General features: G+C 47.9%; 1 annotated feature.

Annotated features, from left to right (window-relative positions):
• Window positions 7,143-7,642: an enhancer, noted in NCBI's record as "H3K4me1 hESC enhancer chr11:113835585-113836084 (GRCh37/hg19 assembly coordinates)". NCBI's record gives its function as "activates a minimal SCP1, AML or CMV promoter by ChIP-STARR-seq in primed H9 embryonic stem cells {active_cell/tissue: H9 hESC(primed)}" and the evidence as "EXISTENCE:reporter gene assay evidence [ECO:0000049][PMID:30033119]".

Below are 16,430 nucleotides of genomic sequence, written 5' to 3' on the forward strand. Positions count from 1 at the left end.
CTTCTGTTTCTCCAGTTTCTACCACAAAGGCTGGCACAGGGCAGAGGACTGGAGAGTTCTGGCTGAAGGAACATCCATGCCATTTTGCCCGGAAGGTAGCCAGCTGGGCTGCAGCGAGGGAAGTGCCTGGCCACCATCTCCTACCAGAGCCCTGGTGGTGGAGAGTGATGGGGAAAGAATCCCAGGTGACAGGGGAGGCTGTGCTGCTGCCACTGCTCCTTCCCTTTCCTCCCAGAGGTGCCAGTGCTTGGCGGAGGCATCACTCTTGTAGACTGGATGCTCTGTCTTCTCATTCTGGTCCCAGGCTGCCGAGTGGCCTGTTCTCCCTGCCGCCACCGTGTCTCAGCCCTGGTCCCTGGGAGGGATGAAAGCTCTCTCCGTCTTCCTGATCTTCCCTTTCTGGTGATATTTCAAACACCCATTAGGTTTTACAGGGTATTGCTTCCAAGGCTACAGGAGATGGCTCTGGGGCTGCACTCCAGGCACTTAGGTCCCCCTGAGCCTGTTGACAATTCTGCCACGCAGCCTGTCCTCCCATCACACCCTACCCCCTTGCGCTTCAGCCACCACATCCCTCTCCCTGCCATCCTGAGCTTGACACAGAGGGCACTAGGCAGAGCCCAAGCTTGTCACTGTGCCTTTATAGGCCTGGGGTCCCCTACTCTGCTTCTTTGGGCAGCAGAGAGAGAGTGTGTGTACATGTGTCTGAGGCAGTAACTTGAAGTTGGAGGAGAATCTAGACCAACTCATGCAAAGCTCTCATTCTGCAGATGAGGCTGAGAGAAAATAAAAATATACCCAAGATAACACTAAAGACAATGATAATGATTACTGATAGCTACTGAAATGGGAAGCGTGTATGTGTCATGCATTGTATGAGGACTTTCCATGGTGAAGCTAATTTAGCCCACATGACCATCTTCCATGGTATGTTACATTTACAAATACAGAAACTAAGGCTCAGCCAGTTTAAGAAACCTGCCTACCATCACACAATGAGTGAGTGAAAGAGCAGAATTTGGTATTAGGATTATTTGCTTGAACATCAAGCAGCTTTAGTAGCTTCCTCTGAAAAGCAAAGTGGTGAGAGTAAGAGCCCACGCCCCTCCCACCCCAGGGAGCTGTGGAGGCTCCTGGGGTGAAAGCTGCAAAGGTGAGGGGTTATCATCCCCATGCAGTGTTATACCCAGCTGGGGAAGAGGCCCCCGCTCCAGAAGAGAAGATGCACACATTGCCTTGGGCTAGAATCCTGAGGCCTCCACAGGGGCCTCCCTGCCCAGGCTAAAGAAATGTAAATGGGAAGGGAAGTGGGGAAGGGAGAGGTGTCAGAAATGGGGCTGGGCTAGGTCAGCATGGTGGCTCACGCCTGTAATCCCAGCACTTTGGGAGACTGAGGCCAGGTGGATTACTTGAGGTCAGGAGTTCGAGACAAGCCTGGCCAACATGATGAAACCCCATCTTTACTAAAAATACGAAAATTAGCCAGGCATGTGGTGAACACCTGTAATTCCAGCTACTCAGGAGGCTGAGGCAGGAGAATCACTTGAACCTGGGAGGCGGAGATTGCAGTGAGCTGAGATCATGCCACTGCACTCCAGCCTGGGCGACAGAGCAAGACTTCATATCAAAAAAAAAAAAAGAATCTTATTCAGATCACCTCATTAAGTCCTCCCCAAAACTCTGGGGTAGGTGACAGTATCCATCCTCCCTTCAGAGAGGCTGACTAACCTGTCCAAGGCATGTAGCTAGGAAGTGGCAGAGCTGGCATTTGAATGGTGTTAGGACAGGCTAGGTTATTGCTGTGGTAACACATGATCCCCAAATCTCTGTGGCTTACGACAGCAAGCTCTGTGCCCACAGAGGTCAGCCCCAGCTCTGATCTTATGTCCTCGCCCTGAGACCCAGGCCGCTGCAGCCTCCATTGCGAACATCACCAGTCACCACAGCACAGAAAGATACACATGTGGCTGGGTGTGGTGACTCACGCCTGTAATCTCAGTACTTTGGGAAGCTGAGGTAGGTGTGGATCATTTAAGGTCAGGAGTTCAAGACCAGCCTGTCCAACATGGTGGAACCCCATCTCTACTAAAAATACAAGAATTAGGCAGGTGTGGTGGCAGGCGCCTGTAGTTCTAGCTACTCGGGAGGCTGAGGTAGGAGAATCACTTGAACCCAGGAGGTGGGGGTTGCAGTGAGCCTAGATCATACCACTGCACTCTAGCTTGGGTGACAGAGCAAGTGACTCTGTCTCAAAAAAAAAAAAAAAAAAAAAAAAAGGAATGCCATGCACGGTGACTCATGCCTGTAATCCCAGCACTTTGGGAGGCTGAGGTGGGCAGATCACGAGGTCAGGAGTTTGAGACCAGCCTGGCCAATATGGTGAAACCCGTCTCTACTAAAAATACAGAAATTAGCAGGGCATGGTGGTGTGCACCTGTAATTCCAGCTACTAGGGAGGCTGAGGCAGAAGTATCGCTTGAACCCGGGAGGTGGAGGTTGCAGTGAGCCCAGATTGCACCACTGCACTCTAGCCTGGGAGACAAAGGGAGCCTCCATCTCAGGAGAAAAAAAAAAAAGAAGATACACACGTCCTTTCTGCTCACAACTCAGTGTCCTACTGTCCTTGTCGTGCAACCCACCGAACCACCACAAGGCCAGGAAGTACAATCCTTACAAGTGCCCAGAAAGGGGGAGAACTGGAATATTCGAGGCACAGTGCTCACAGTTACCACATAGTTTCTAATCACCAAGCTCGACTCAGTCCCTCAGTGCACTGAGCTGCCATTTCCTCATCGGAAAGGTGGGAATAGTAATTCTACCTTGCAGGGTCATTGTGGTGAATAAATGAGACAATATACAAAAATCTCAAGCCTAGGAACACTGAGTCGTAGCCATTAGTATGTTCATGTGTGAAGTTCAGGAATACTCTGGGGCTGTTCAGTTCGACCCTTTTTCAGTGCAATGACAAATCAAGATACGGGATTTAGAAGAGTCCTCTGAAACAAGAGGACAAGTTTGGGAAATGCTGCTGCTCTCTGAGTGCATGAAACCACCTTCAGGGAACCCAGAGAGAAAGGAAAATTTCCAGGAGGACAATCAGTGGCAACAGCCAATGTGCAAATGTGATTATGTCAGCATACACGCAGACTGCTGAGCGCTTCTCCAGGACTCTTCATTTAAGACTAATTAAATGCTTGGAACCAGGAAGATTGAGAGGGTCCTCTCCAGGAAGCTATTCCAGGCCAGCAAGACACTTCAGGGTCTATTTACAGAGGTGGAACGCTCCAGAGGAGGAGGAAGAAGAGGGTAGCTCAACTGAGAGCACTCCAGAGGAGGAACAGGAGGCCAGAAGGGCTGAAAATCACTCAGGATATTGCAGGGTCCTCCCGCCCCAACCTTGGCCTCCGAGGGTCTGAGGTTTTGTGTGATGTAAGAAAACAAAACTAGGGTTTGTGCTGGTGATTGCAAAATGAGAACTGCCTGTGGAATGGCATGGGTTCGTTTTCCTTTGCCACGGTGAAGAATTACCATAAATTTAGCTGCTTGAAACAACACAAGTTTATTGTCTTACAGATCGGGAGGTCAACAGTCCGAAGTCAGTTTCACTGGGTTAAACCAATTCTGCCAGCCGAGTTGGTTCCTTCTGGAGGTTCTCAGGGGAGAATCTGTGCCCTTGCCTTTTTCAGTTTCTAGGGGTCACTGGCATTCTTCAGTTCATGTCCCCTTCCTCCGTCTTCAAGGCTCAAATCCAGTTTCTGCTTCTGTCATGCACAGCCTTCTCTTCCATCATCAAATCTCCTTCTGCCTTCCTCTAATAAGGACACTAAATCAGTACATTTAGGACGGACCCTGGCAACCCAGTACAACTTCTCATCTTAAGATCCCTAATTTAATCACATCTGTAATTTTCCCTTTTGCCGTCTAAGGTAAGAGCTATAGGTCCCAGAGATTAGGACCTGGGTATCTTTGGGGCCATTATTCAGGATACCACACAAAGCTTTTGAGATGGTTTGAATAGCAAAAGGGCAACAATTGTCTTAGGCCATCTTGCATTGCTCTAAAGGAATACTCAAGGCTGGATAATTTATAAATAAAAGTTTGTTTGCCTCATGGTTCTGCAGACTATACCAGAAGCATAGTGCCAGCATCTGCTTCTGGTAAGGGCTTCAGGAAACTTCCACTGATGGTGGAGGGTGAAGGGGAGCAGGCTTCACATGGTGAGAGAAGAGGAAAGAGAAAGAGGGCAAGGCAGCTAGGCTCTGCAACAACCTGCTCTTGTATGAACAATTCGAGCAAGAACTCACTCATCACCATGGGGAGGGCACCAAGCCATTCAAGAGGGATCCACCCCCATGACACAAACTCCTCCCACTAGGCCTTACCTCCAACCTTGGGGATCACATTTCAAAACATGAGATTTGGAGGGGACAAACATCCAAACTATATCAACCGTGAACCCAACTGCATCCATAGATCTTCCACTTGGCCCTGGGGTAGGAAGCACCCTGCAGGCCTAGCTGTGTATGGAACCTGTGTGATGACCCCCAGCAAGCCTGTCTACACATCTCCCTTCAGCCATGTCGCCAGTGCCCAATAGACAGTGATACAGAGCAGTAATCATGTCATGATTACTGTCATGTAATCAACCAATGATTACATGAGTTGACTCCAAGAGACATGTCGTGGAATCAACCAATCTATTAGCAGTCATGATTTCGGCGTCCGTGTCCTGTGGCTGGCAGTTCAGACCTGGGGCCCTGCAGATTCTCTGAGGAGGAGATTCAGTCAACAAATATTTATTGAGGTCCTACTATGTGTCGGGCACTATTCCAGGCACTTGGGATAGATACATCAGTGAACAAAGCACACAGAGGTCCCTGCCTTCATGGCGCTAAAGTTCCATCATTAGAGACAGACAGTAAAGAATCAATTGAAGTCAAAAGAAGTTAACTGTGTAGAATGTTAGGTACTAATGGGGCTATGGAAAAATAGAAAAAGTAGGGCAGGGGAAGAGGGATCAGGCATGAGAAGGTGGGATGGGGCAGATGAGGGTATTATATGGAGTAGCCACGGGAGGCCTCACTGAGCAGGGGAGATTTATGTAGACTTGAAGGAGAGGGTATTTGCCAAGTGGACATGCAGAGCGGGGAGCTCCAGGCAGAGGGGAGAGCTGGGGCAGAGGCTGTAAGGCAGAGCACACCTGGTCTGTGCAAGCAACAGAAGGAAGGCCATGAGGTTGGAGTGGGCAGACTGATGGAGAAAGTCACAGCAGGCCGGGTGTGGTGGCTCATGCCTGTAATTCCAGCACTTTGGAAGGCTAAGGCAGGTGGATCACTTGAGGTCAGGAGTTCGAGACCATCCTGGCCAACATGGTGAAACCCTGTCTCTATTACACATACAAAAATTAGCCAGGCATGGTGGCAGGCACCTGTAATCCCAGCTACCAGGGAGGCTGAGGTGGGAGAATTGCTTGAACCCAGGAGGTGGAGGCTGTGGTGAGTCAAGATCACACCACTGCACTCCAGCCTGGGCGATACTCCTGGACGACTTGTCTAGTCGGAGGGGGGGGGGGAAAGAAAGTCACATCAGGAGAAGACAAAGAGGTAACAGGGGCCAGATGAGCTATGAGGGCCTCTGTGCAACTAACCAGGCCAAACCTGAAAAGAAAAAAGAAGACAAAGCAAATGAGGGCTGCAAGCACTCTGGTACGAGACTCACGAAAATCCTCCGAACTGGGAGCTAGTTCCTGTGTTGGGTGTTGTGTGACCTTGCTCGAGTCACCTATCACTGCAGAGATTCACTTTCCTCACTTATAAATTGTGCAGCTTGCACCAGATTCATTCACTCATCCACCCATTCCACAGGCTCTGACTAGCACCTCTGAGGCCCCAAGCACATGGACCAGCACTGCAGACACTAAGATGAGTCTCTGCCCTCCCTGTCCAGAGTCCTTCCAGCTCCAACACTTGGGGCTGAAAGAATTGAGGGGTTTGTGCCCAGAGAAGAGAAGGTGTTATGGTGTAAGGACTTTCACATAAAAAAGAAGTTAGTCCCAAAGGATAGGACCGGATGGGTGGAAGTTTTAGGGAAACAGTTTTGGGGATCAGTGTAGAAAAGAGTTCTCCAAAAATGAAATGGGCTATCCTGAGAGGTCTCATCACTGGAGGTCTGCAGAGGCTGAAAGATCATTTGCTGGGATGTCATCAAGGTTTGTGTGCTGGGAAGAGGCTGGACTAGATGATTTTTAAGGCCCGAGGGAGTTTTCTCTGCTATCTCTATCTCTGGAGGACTTGGACACCAAGACAGGCTTGTGTCCTTTGGGATGTGCTGAGGGTCTTGCTTTCGGCTGGGGATGGGCTGCCCTCCCACAAATGCTGAGGTGAATGACACAGTGAGAGACAAGACTAGCTGGATTTCCTAGGCTGACTAAGAATCCCTAAGCCTAGCTGGGAAGGTGACCGCATCCACCTTTAAACACGGAGCTTGCAACTTAGCTCACACCTGACCAATCAGGTAGTAAAGAGAGCTCACTAAAATGCTAATTAGGCACAAACAGGAGGTAAAGAAATAGCCAATCATCTATTGCCTGAGAGCACAGCGGGAAGGACAACCATGGGGTATAAACCCAGGCATTCGAGCCAGCAACAGCTACCCTCTTTGGGTCCCCTCCCTTTGTATGGGAGCTCTGTTTTCACTCTATTAAATCTTGCAACTACACTCTCTTCTGGTCCGTGTTGGTTACCGCTCGAGCTGATCTTTCGCTTTCCATCCCCCACTGCTGTTTGCCGCCGTTGCAGACCTGCCGCTGACTTCCATCCTTCTGGATCCAGCAGGTTGTCTGCTGTGCTCCTGATCCAGTGAGGCCCCCATTGCCACTCCTGATTGGGCTAAAGGCTTGCCTTTGTTCCCGCATGGCTAAGTGCCCAGGTTCGTCCTAATGGAGCTGAACACTAGTCACTGGGTTCCACGGTTCTCTTCTGTGACCCACGGCTCCTAATAGAGCTATAACACTCACTGCAGGGCCCAAGGTTCCATTCCTTGGAATCCGTGAGGCCAAGAACCCCAGGTCAGAGAACACGAGGCTTGCCACCATCTTGGAAGCAGCCCGCCGCCACTTTGGAAGCGCCCGCCACCATCTTGGGAGCTCTGGGAGCAAGGACCCCCGGTAACAACAGTGGCCCCGGGGCAGGAGGGCGACGTGACCTCCTCAGTGGGTCTTGCCTCTCCACAGGGTAGTGTGGGCAGAATTCTCATAAGGTGAGGTGTCCCCTCAGAGGAACAGGGATGTGGCACCTCACTGCCTCCACCCTTTCTCCCACGCCTGCCCTCTCCTCATTGTCTCATCTCTCTGTCTACTCATTCCGGACTACAGGCTCCGTGTCCCAGAGCATTTCCTTTCTCTAGCTAATGGCAGCTTGGGGGCCCAAATGTTCCCCATGGCCAGTGAGTTCCATTGTGTTTCACTGCTCGAGACAGCAGCAGACCAGAGTCCAGGCAGCAGTGGGACAAGGACTGTCTGCTGAGCGCATTCCCAGAAATAGAGGAGGCAGCCAAGGATTCCAGCTCCAGGGCTGGTGGCATCCTTCCCCCTCAGTTGACTGGCCTCTGAGGGAGCAGGGAGAGCCCCAGAGCACAGGTGTATTTTGCCAGATCCCCCTACTTATCTGCTAATGCCACTCATTCATTCAACAAATATTTGTTGAGCATCTACTATGTAACAGACACTCTTCCAGGTTCTGAGATTGGAACCAACAAATTATATAAAAATATCTGCCTTGTAGAGCTTACATTCTAGTGGAGGCAGGGGCAGAGAGAGATCATAAGCCAGAAAAATACCCAATACATACATGTGGTATGTTAGATGTTGACAAGTGCTATGGAGAAGGACTCTAGAGAGTATTAGGGGGTATAATTTCATCTATAAAATACGGTGGTGGATGGAGAAGGTCTCACTGAGAAGTTGATCTTTGAGGAAGTTGATGGTCACTTGGGTCACACTTGAGCTATTGCTTTCCAATCCTCTCTCCAGGATCTGCCCTCAGGCCTTGGAGACAAGCTGCTCAGAATAATCCCTCTTATGTTATACTGCTGTATTTAACTCTTTTAGACTGTTCATGACCTATTCATTTATTTATTAATCCTCTCAATCTCTTCTATTTGTAAATAAAAGGGACATATGGTTTGTTACGGGTTATATAATTTCATAGTTTGCTGAGTATATGCTACATATGCTGAGTACTTTATCTACAACAACTCATTTAATCTTCACAGCAACGTATGAGGATAAATATGGCCATGCCCCATTTATTTATTTACTTATTTATTCATTCATTCATTCACTCATTCATTCATTTATTTGAGGCAGGGTCTTGCTCTGTCATGCAGGCTAGAGTGCAGTGGTGCTACCATAGCTCACTACAGCTTCGAACTCTTGGGCTCAAGTGATTCTCCTGCTTCAGCCTCTTGTGTAGCTGGAATTACAGGTGCATGCCACCATGCCTGGCTAATTTTTTTCTTCATAGAGGTGAGGTCTTGCCATGTTGACCAGGCTGGTCTTGAACTCCTGGGCTCAAGCAATCCTCCTGCCTCTGTCTCCCAAAGTGCTGGGATTGCAGGCGTGAGCTACTGTGCCCGGCCTATGCCCAATTTAGACATGAGAAAACTGAGGTTGGAGCTGGGCGCAGGGGTTCATGACTGTAATCCCAGCACTTTGGGAAACTGAGGCGGGCAGATCACTTGAGGCCAGGAGTTCGAGACCATGCGTGGTCAACATGGTGAAACCCCTTCTCTACTAAAAATACAAAATTAGCCTGGCGTGGTGGCATGTGCCTGTTATCCCAGCTACTCAAGAGGCTGAGACAGGAGAATCGCTTGAACCCAAGAGGTCGAGGTTGCAGTGAGCCGAGACGACTTCACAGCACTCCAGCCTGAGCTACAGAGTGAGACTCCATCAAAAAAAAAAAAAAAAGAAAGTAAGAAAGAAAGAAAACTGATGTTGAGTTTGGACGCTTCAGTTACTGCTATAGACTGAATGATTGTGCACCCCCAGCATTCACATGTTAAAACCTAACCCCCAATGTAATGGTATTAGGAGGTGAGGCCTTTGGGAGGTGATTAGTGCCCTTATAAAGAGATTCCAGAGAGCTGGTAGCACCGTGAATTATGGTTTTTATGATTTCTGTGTAGGGGGAAGAGAGAGTGGATATCAGAATATCTGGGAGAAGGGGCATGCATAATTTGAACCAGGTGATGTTGATATTGCCTTACCCATTCCAGATTAATAATTGCTGAACTATAATATTCCCAAAAAGTCTGGTGAATTCGATAGGTGAATTTAGTAGGCAGGGCAATTGTTTCTTTATTCCCATTAGATAGTTGATGAAATTGAGTATGCAATTAAGACAGTTTAGTTGGTTTGCCCAAGATCACATAGTTCACAATGGAACCAGGACTGGGGCCAGGCTCTATTCCATTTTCCCGTTGCTTCTTGTTAAAAACTCACTTCATTTTTTTTGAAATAAAACACTCATTTTTAAAAATAAAATTTAAAGCATAAGACGGTGGAGAGTGAAAAATGACTTTCTCCCTACCCTGTCTGCCAGACATACATTCTACCCTGAAAGGCAACAACCATTACAATTGTTGTATTTTCTTCCTGTTTACATTTTTCCTCAGTAGAAAAGGCAGAAGACAGAATCAGATCTTTAGGAGTGCTGTCTTAGCTTGGCTGAGGGTTCTATACCAGGTTTGGTCATACATAGCTGAGTGACCTTGGGCAAGTTAGTAAATATCTCAGAGTTTTAGTTCCTCATGTATAAAATAAGGGTAATGTCACTGATATGGTTTGCATATTTGTCCTCCACAAAGCTCATGTTGAAATGTGATCCACAGTGTTAGAGGTGGGGCCTAGTGGGAGGTGTTTGGCTCACGGGGGCAGATCTCTCATGAATGGCTTGGGCCATGCTCATAGTAATGAGTGAGTTCTTGCTCTATTAGTTCACAAAATACCTGATTTATTTATTTATTTATTTTCAGACTGAGTCTTGCTCTGTCGCCCAGGCTGGAGTGCAGTGGTGCGATCTCGGCTCACTGCAAGTTCCGCCTCTTGGGCTCACGCCATTCTCCTGCCTCAGCCTCCCCAGTAGCTGGGACTACAGGCGCCCGCCACCACCCCTGGCTAATTTTTTGTATTTTTAGTAGAGATGGGGTTTCACTGTGTTAGCCAGGATGGTCTCAATCTCCTGACCTCGTGATCCACCCACCTTGGCCTCCCAAAGTGCTGGGATTACAGGCGTGAGCCACCGCGCCCTGCCAAGACCTGATTATTCTTAAATGCCTGGCATCTCGTCCTCTCTCTCTTGCTCCCTCTCTAGCCATGTGACATGCCTGCTCCCCGCTCTGCTTCCACCATGAGTAGAAGCTTCCTGAAGTTCCTTACGAAAAGCAGATGCTGGCACCATGCTTCTTATACAGCTTGCAGTACCACGAGCCAAATAAACCTCTTTTCTTTATAAATTTACCAGCCTCAGGTATTTCTTTATAGCAATACAAATGGACTAACACAGTCACCTGCCTCAGAGTGTTAGAATGAGTTCATGTAAGAGAGAACATGCCTGAAAGCATGTTGTAAACCATGCATGGCCATACAAAGATTGGTCAATGTGATTATTCTCTGCTTCTGTTTTTTTTTCATTTCCTCTGGAAGAGCTCATGGATGACCATTATGTTTCCACTCCTTCTCAGACTCTGAAAAGGATGGATCGGAGATGGGACTCATTTCCACAGGATGAAAGGATATGATTCAAAATTGTACCAAGTGCAATTAAAGTTAGATATTAGAAGAAACTTTGTTTTAGAATCCCCAAGGGATTTTTGAGGTCTCTTTGAAAATTTCTGAGAAAATACTAATAATACATTAAGCATCTGTTTTTCCCAGAAACAAGAAGATGGATAAGATAGCCTCTCGATCCCTTCTTTTCTAGAAGTTCTTTAGAATTCAAGTAAGAGGGAAATTTAAACCCAACCACCTTCTGCCCCAGGTCCAGTTCCAGGGTGGCCGAATGGGCAAATGGCTACTCGTCATGAATAGGATGACCTCTCTGGTCCTTTCCTCCTTTAAGTTTATTAACTCTCTTGGGTTAGAGAGAAATCTAAGCCAAATGACCTTCTGCCCCCAGGTCTAGCTCTGGGGTGACCAATAGGCTGATGATCAATCACTATCCCCATTAAAGCCTAGCTTTTGCTACCAGCTTGCTAATTTTAGATACAATTTCCAGGGTGACCTACCCTGAAGAGCACTCTAGAGTTGACTGAGTTGTTTGGGGAACAGAAAAAAGCTTCCACCCACAAGTAGTTGAAAAAGCTAGAATTTAAAGGAAATTTGGGGAAAGTTTCATTTTCTAGGAAGGAGAGATACTCAAGATGCTAGAACATTTCCATCTTGAACACCTGTAAGAACTGGAGTGAGACCATCCTTCTGTGCCAGAAAGGAGGTGAAAGGGAAGAAAGAAGGAAGGATCCTGCCTGCTTTGCCATTTCTCATACCCATCATTCCCTGATGGCTTGTATGAAGGATTACCTCCTCCCTTATGAGCGTAAGTCCCCGAATCTGCAGAGTTTAGCACCAGGAAGATCTCCAGGCAGACAGAGCAAGAACCAAGGAGCACCATGAAGTTCTTTGGGTCTCAGCTTACTCTGGTGCTTCTCTCTCTCATACAGGTGTTGCTGCCACCACGCTGGCCTAACCAGGAACAAAGACCCCTTCCTTCTCTTCCACTCAATGTGGAGCATGAAGATTGGAAATTCCAGTATGAATACATTAACGGAAGAGACAGGGGCAGTAAGCAAAAGGGGTATGTGAAGATTGAACTATGAACTTGTAACACCCAGGGGTTTCAGTTCTTTTAGACCTGTGCAATTTTCCTGAAATAGCTTTATAGAGTCCCAAAAGTACAGTGCCACTTCAGAGGCCCATTTGGGTTTTTTAATTCCTTCTTCTTTTTTTTTTTTTGAGACAGGGTTTCACTCTTTCACCCAGGCTGGAGTGCAGTGGCGTGATCTCAGCTCACTACAACCTTGGCCTCCAGGGTTCAAGCAGTTCTTATGCCTCAGCCTACTGAGTACCTGGGATTATAGGTGAGCACCACCACACCTCACTAATTTTTGTATTTTTAGTAAAGACAGCGTTTCACCATGTTGCCCAGGCTTGTCTCAAACTCCTGACCTCAAATGATCCACCGCCTTGGCCTTTGAAAGTGCTGGGATTACAGATGTGAGCCACCGCACCCAGCCAGGTTTCATAATTTCTATTCCTTGCCTGTAACCATGTAGAAGATGGCAATACACACACCCAACCAATAGGAGCAACCTCCCATTCATCTGACCTTTTGAGGTCACAATCGAGAATAAAAAGTTTCACTGCGTCACTACTTTAAAATTTCCAACCTGTCCGGTTGGAGATCTAGAAGAGACCTCTTCCCCTCTTCTAGATGATGGGGACAGGAGACAAAAAATAACCACACCTTTCAGATGAAGCCAAACCCCATGCCCTCAGACCCAACATAATAATAATACACTCCCAAAACTCTAGCATCTCTTCCCTACCATGAGGAGGGCTGCAGACAGCTCACTGCAGCCTCAAACTCCCTAGGCTCAGGTGCTCCTCCCACCTCATCCTCCTGTGTAGCTGGGACTGTAGGCATGCGCCACCATGCTGGGCTAATTTTTCTAGTTTTTGTAGAGGTCTCACCATGTTGCCCAGGTTGGTCTCAATTCCTGGGCTCAAGTGATCCACCTGCCTTGGCCTCCCAAAGTGCTGGGATTACAGGTGTGAGCCACTGTGCCTGGCCACTTTATCTCAGTTTTTTCATCTGCAATATGGGAGTAATAACAATATCTTCTTCATAGGAAATAAAGATTAAATAAGATAAAGAGCTGAGCACAGTGCTGGGCACATAGTATATGCTCGATGAATGAGGGCTACTGTTGGTGGAGTGGTGCAGAACAGGGCCATTCCAAGGACCCAGGGCCTTGGTGGAGGAAAGCTCTGAGTCATACATGATAGGACAGCAGGGCAAAGAAGACCAGGAAGGAAGGTGCTCTTCTATGTCTGTTGAAGACACTGCTGTGCCTCTCTCCTTCCTATCATGCCCACTGCTGCCTCTTCAGGCAGGTGAACTGGGAAACTTGAATCAGGCATTTTGCCATCCTGCTGGCTTCCACCCCCTCCATGAGTAGACAGCCGCTGAATCTTCCAGCCTCCATACCAGGATGGGTCAAGTCTCTGGAACTGGTTAGTAGGAAAGGTGCTCCTTATCTGACCCCTAGCACAGAGAGAGGTAGGCTCTGCAGGGGCACTGTATGAGCAAGTGCCAACCATGGGTGCCCAACCAAAGGGGCGATAAGGGAAGAGGAAGGCAAATCTTCCCTTTAGCACTGTGATAACAAACCTTAAGCCTCCCCCAGCCCTTTTCTAGCAGGTGGGTCCCTAGTGTGGCCAGATGTTACTAAGGGTCGAAGAGTTTTGGTACATTTATAGGTTTTAAAAGGTCAGGCTCTTTGGTGGTAAAAGTTTTACAGACTAGTAAAATTTTACTGCAGAAGATGGGAAACACAGCTGTAATAGAAAAGGCTGGAGCCAAGAGTCTGGAAGATCTCAGTTCCGTCTGAAATTAGCTGTGGGAATTAACGCATGTCATGGAGGTTCTCTGGGCTCTGTGTTTTAACCTGGAAAATGGGAGCAAGAAAAGCAATCAGGGGTAGGACAAGGGGCAACGGCATCCAGCGATAGATGGGAAGTTGAGGCCCACATGTGATCACATCCTTCTCTCTGCAGTGCTAGAGCCGCTGGACACAAGGGGAAGGAAGGCTCAGGCCTGTGGGTCCTGCAGTCTCGGAGCTTTTCATTACCCAGACTGGATCGCCGCCATCTGTGTGTCTGCCTCTATTCCTTGGGAGGAGCCTGGCCGTCTGCAGGCAGAGCTCACGAATCAAATTAGCCCAGGCTCTGCTTTTCCCTCATCCCCACCAGCCAAGGCGAGTTCATCAAGGCCTCGCACTAATTCTTATCTTATTTAAAAGGGGCAAAAGTGACTCCACAGTTTCATCTGAGGCAATTTACACCCCGCCACTGGCCACACGGCTCCAGCTTCCCCCTGTCTGTTGTGCCATCAAATCCATTAATAGGACATTTCTTCAGGGGAAACTTGATTGCCGCTCCATCAGAAAGGCACACAGGCAATACATCTCCATCCGAGGCCATGGCCTGCCCGGCTCCCTCTAATCCTGTTACCTAAGGAGCTAATTCTCTAATGCACGCACTGTGCAGAGGACATCCTCTTTCCTTCCTAACACAATTGGACAGTCCCAGAGGATTCCAGGAGCTCAATGCAGAAATGAAGGCTTGGGGCCGATGGGACAGGATCTCCTAGATTTCTCAGGACCTCTGGAGGGGTTGTAACACATGCTCATGGCTGGCACCCCACTCCGCCTTGCCGAGAGCCTGCTTTCTAGAGTACTACACTGGGAAGGGGTGAGCCACACCCAGACCACCCTGGCTTCATAGTTCAGCCACCTCCTGCTTCTGCTTCATCCTTCCTCCGCCTCCTCCTTCTCTTTCTTTTCTCCTTCCATTTTCCTCTCTTTTTTCTCCCTTTCTTCTTTGCCTTTTCCGCCGATCTTCCTTTTCCTCCTCAGTTTCTTTCCTAACTTTCTTCCTGTCTGGTCTTCTTTTTCTTCTTGTTCCTCTTATTTTTTACTTCTCCCCTCTTCTCCTTCTCCAGATCCCCACAACTGTGAAAATATTGTTTTACCTTTCACTTTTTTTGTGCTCCATTCCCTCCCGCTTTGGTGCTGTCCTTTCAGAACAAGTTCAATTTCTAATGCTTCTTCCCAGCTGTCTCCAAATGGTTCAGCTCTGTGGGAGGAATGGGCCCCAGGCCATACCAGCCTAGGTGTGGAGCAAGAGGTAGGGAGGCCCTCGTGGATATACACAAACACCCCAAATACAAAATGGAGCATTGTGGTAGTGGTTAGGTTGTGTCAGGGGAGCAATTAAGTTCTATTCGCTCTTCAATGAGGAAATGATTATAATGGCAACCCCAAATGGGTTTGTTACTGCTAAAGGCCAAACCCTAGCTTATGGCTGTATGAAGGGACCCCATCAACAAATGGCATAATGCTCTATGCAGATTTCATAATGCACATAAACAGGAGGAGAAAGTCGTCTAGAAATTTTCAGATTTCTAAGTGCTAATGGCCACTTAGACGTCAGTGGGAGCTTAAATACTTTGTTGGCCAGGCACAGTGGCTCATGCCTGTAATCCCAGCACTCTGGGAGGCCGAGGCGGGCAGATTGCTTGAGCCCAGGAATTTGAGACCAGCCTGGGCAACATGGCAAAACCCTGTCTCTACTAAAAATACAAAAATTAGCCAGGCATGATAGCATGCCCCTGTAGTCTCAGCTACTTGGGAGGCTGAGGTGGAGGGATCACCTAAGCCAGGGAGATTGAGGTTGCAGTGAGCTGTGATCATGCTACTGCACTCTAGCCTGGGTGATGGAGTGAGATCCTGTTTCAAAAAAAAAAAAAAAAGAAAAAAGAATCTTTGTTGGGCTTGAAGATGCATTTAGGAATCTATAGTGTTCTGCTTGGGCCCCATTCAAGACCTCAGCCTGGTGGCCTAGGAGGCAGCCTGGTTCTTCTTGCCTTGCTTTATCCTGCTGTCAAACCTCAGGTCTGAGGACATTCATTCTGGAATTCTGGGGAGGTCTGGCTCTATAAATTCTCTAAAAGTTTGGGGCCCTCTTTCTATTCACTGCCCTCATATCCATTCCCCTGAGGGAAATGCTTGGAGCTAATTGTCCATGTTTTTCTGGATTGTGCAGTGATGAAGCACATGACTTAAGAGAAGAGTAGCCCAGGCTCCCTGAACTTGACTGCACGTTGCAGAACCACACCCCGCTAACGGCCACAGGAAAGGACCCCAATGGTGAATGGTATAATGCTTTATGCAGATTTCATAATGCACAGGAATAAGAACTGAAAGGATGCAGCCCTGACCAAGGTAGTTTCTTTCTTTTTTTCTTTCTTTTTAACTTACCTACAATTCAGAAAATTCCTCCTTACTGCAGGGTTCCTAGCCTATTCCACACTTAGAGTCAAGTGGAAAATAAATTAAAAAGGAAGAAAATGTTTTGTTGTTGATACTTAACTTGATTGGTACGGGGACATCTACCCAAATGGTGAGCTAGGGTAGGACTCCTTCAAATAAAAATGCACAGTAATTCTTCTTGCAGGCAACTTTAGGGGTACACAGCTGAGGCCTGAGGGATAGATACTTGTCTATTTAACTTGCAATGAAGAAAGAAACACTTCTTTCAAGAAAGACGCTTCCATTTAAGAGGAAGGTATTGAAAATGCTTCCGAGGCCAG

This window comes from Homo sapiens, chromosome 11, assembly GCF_000001405.40.
Source record: "Homo sapiens chromosome 11, GRCh38.p14 Primary Assembly".
NCBI lineage: Eukaryota > Metazoa > Chordata > Mammalia > Primates > Hominidae > Homo > Homo sapiens.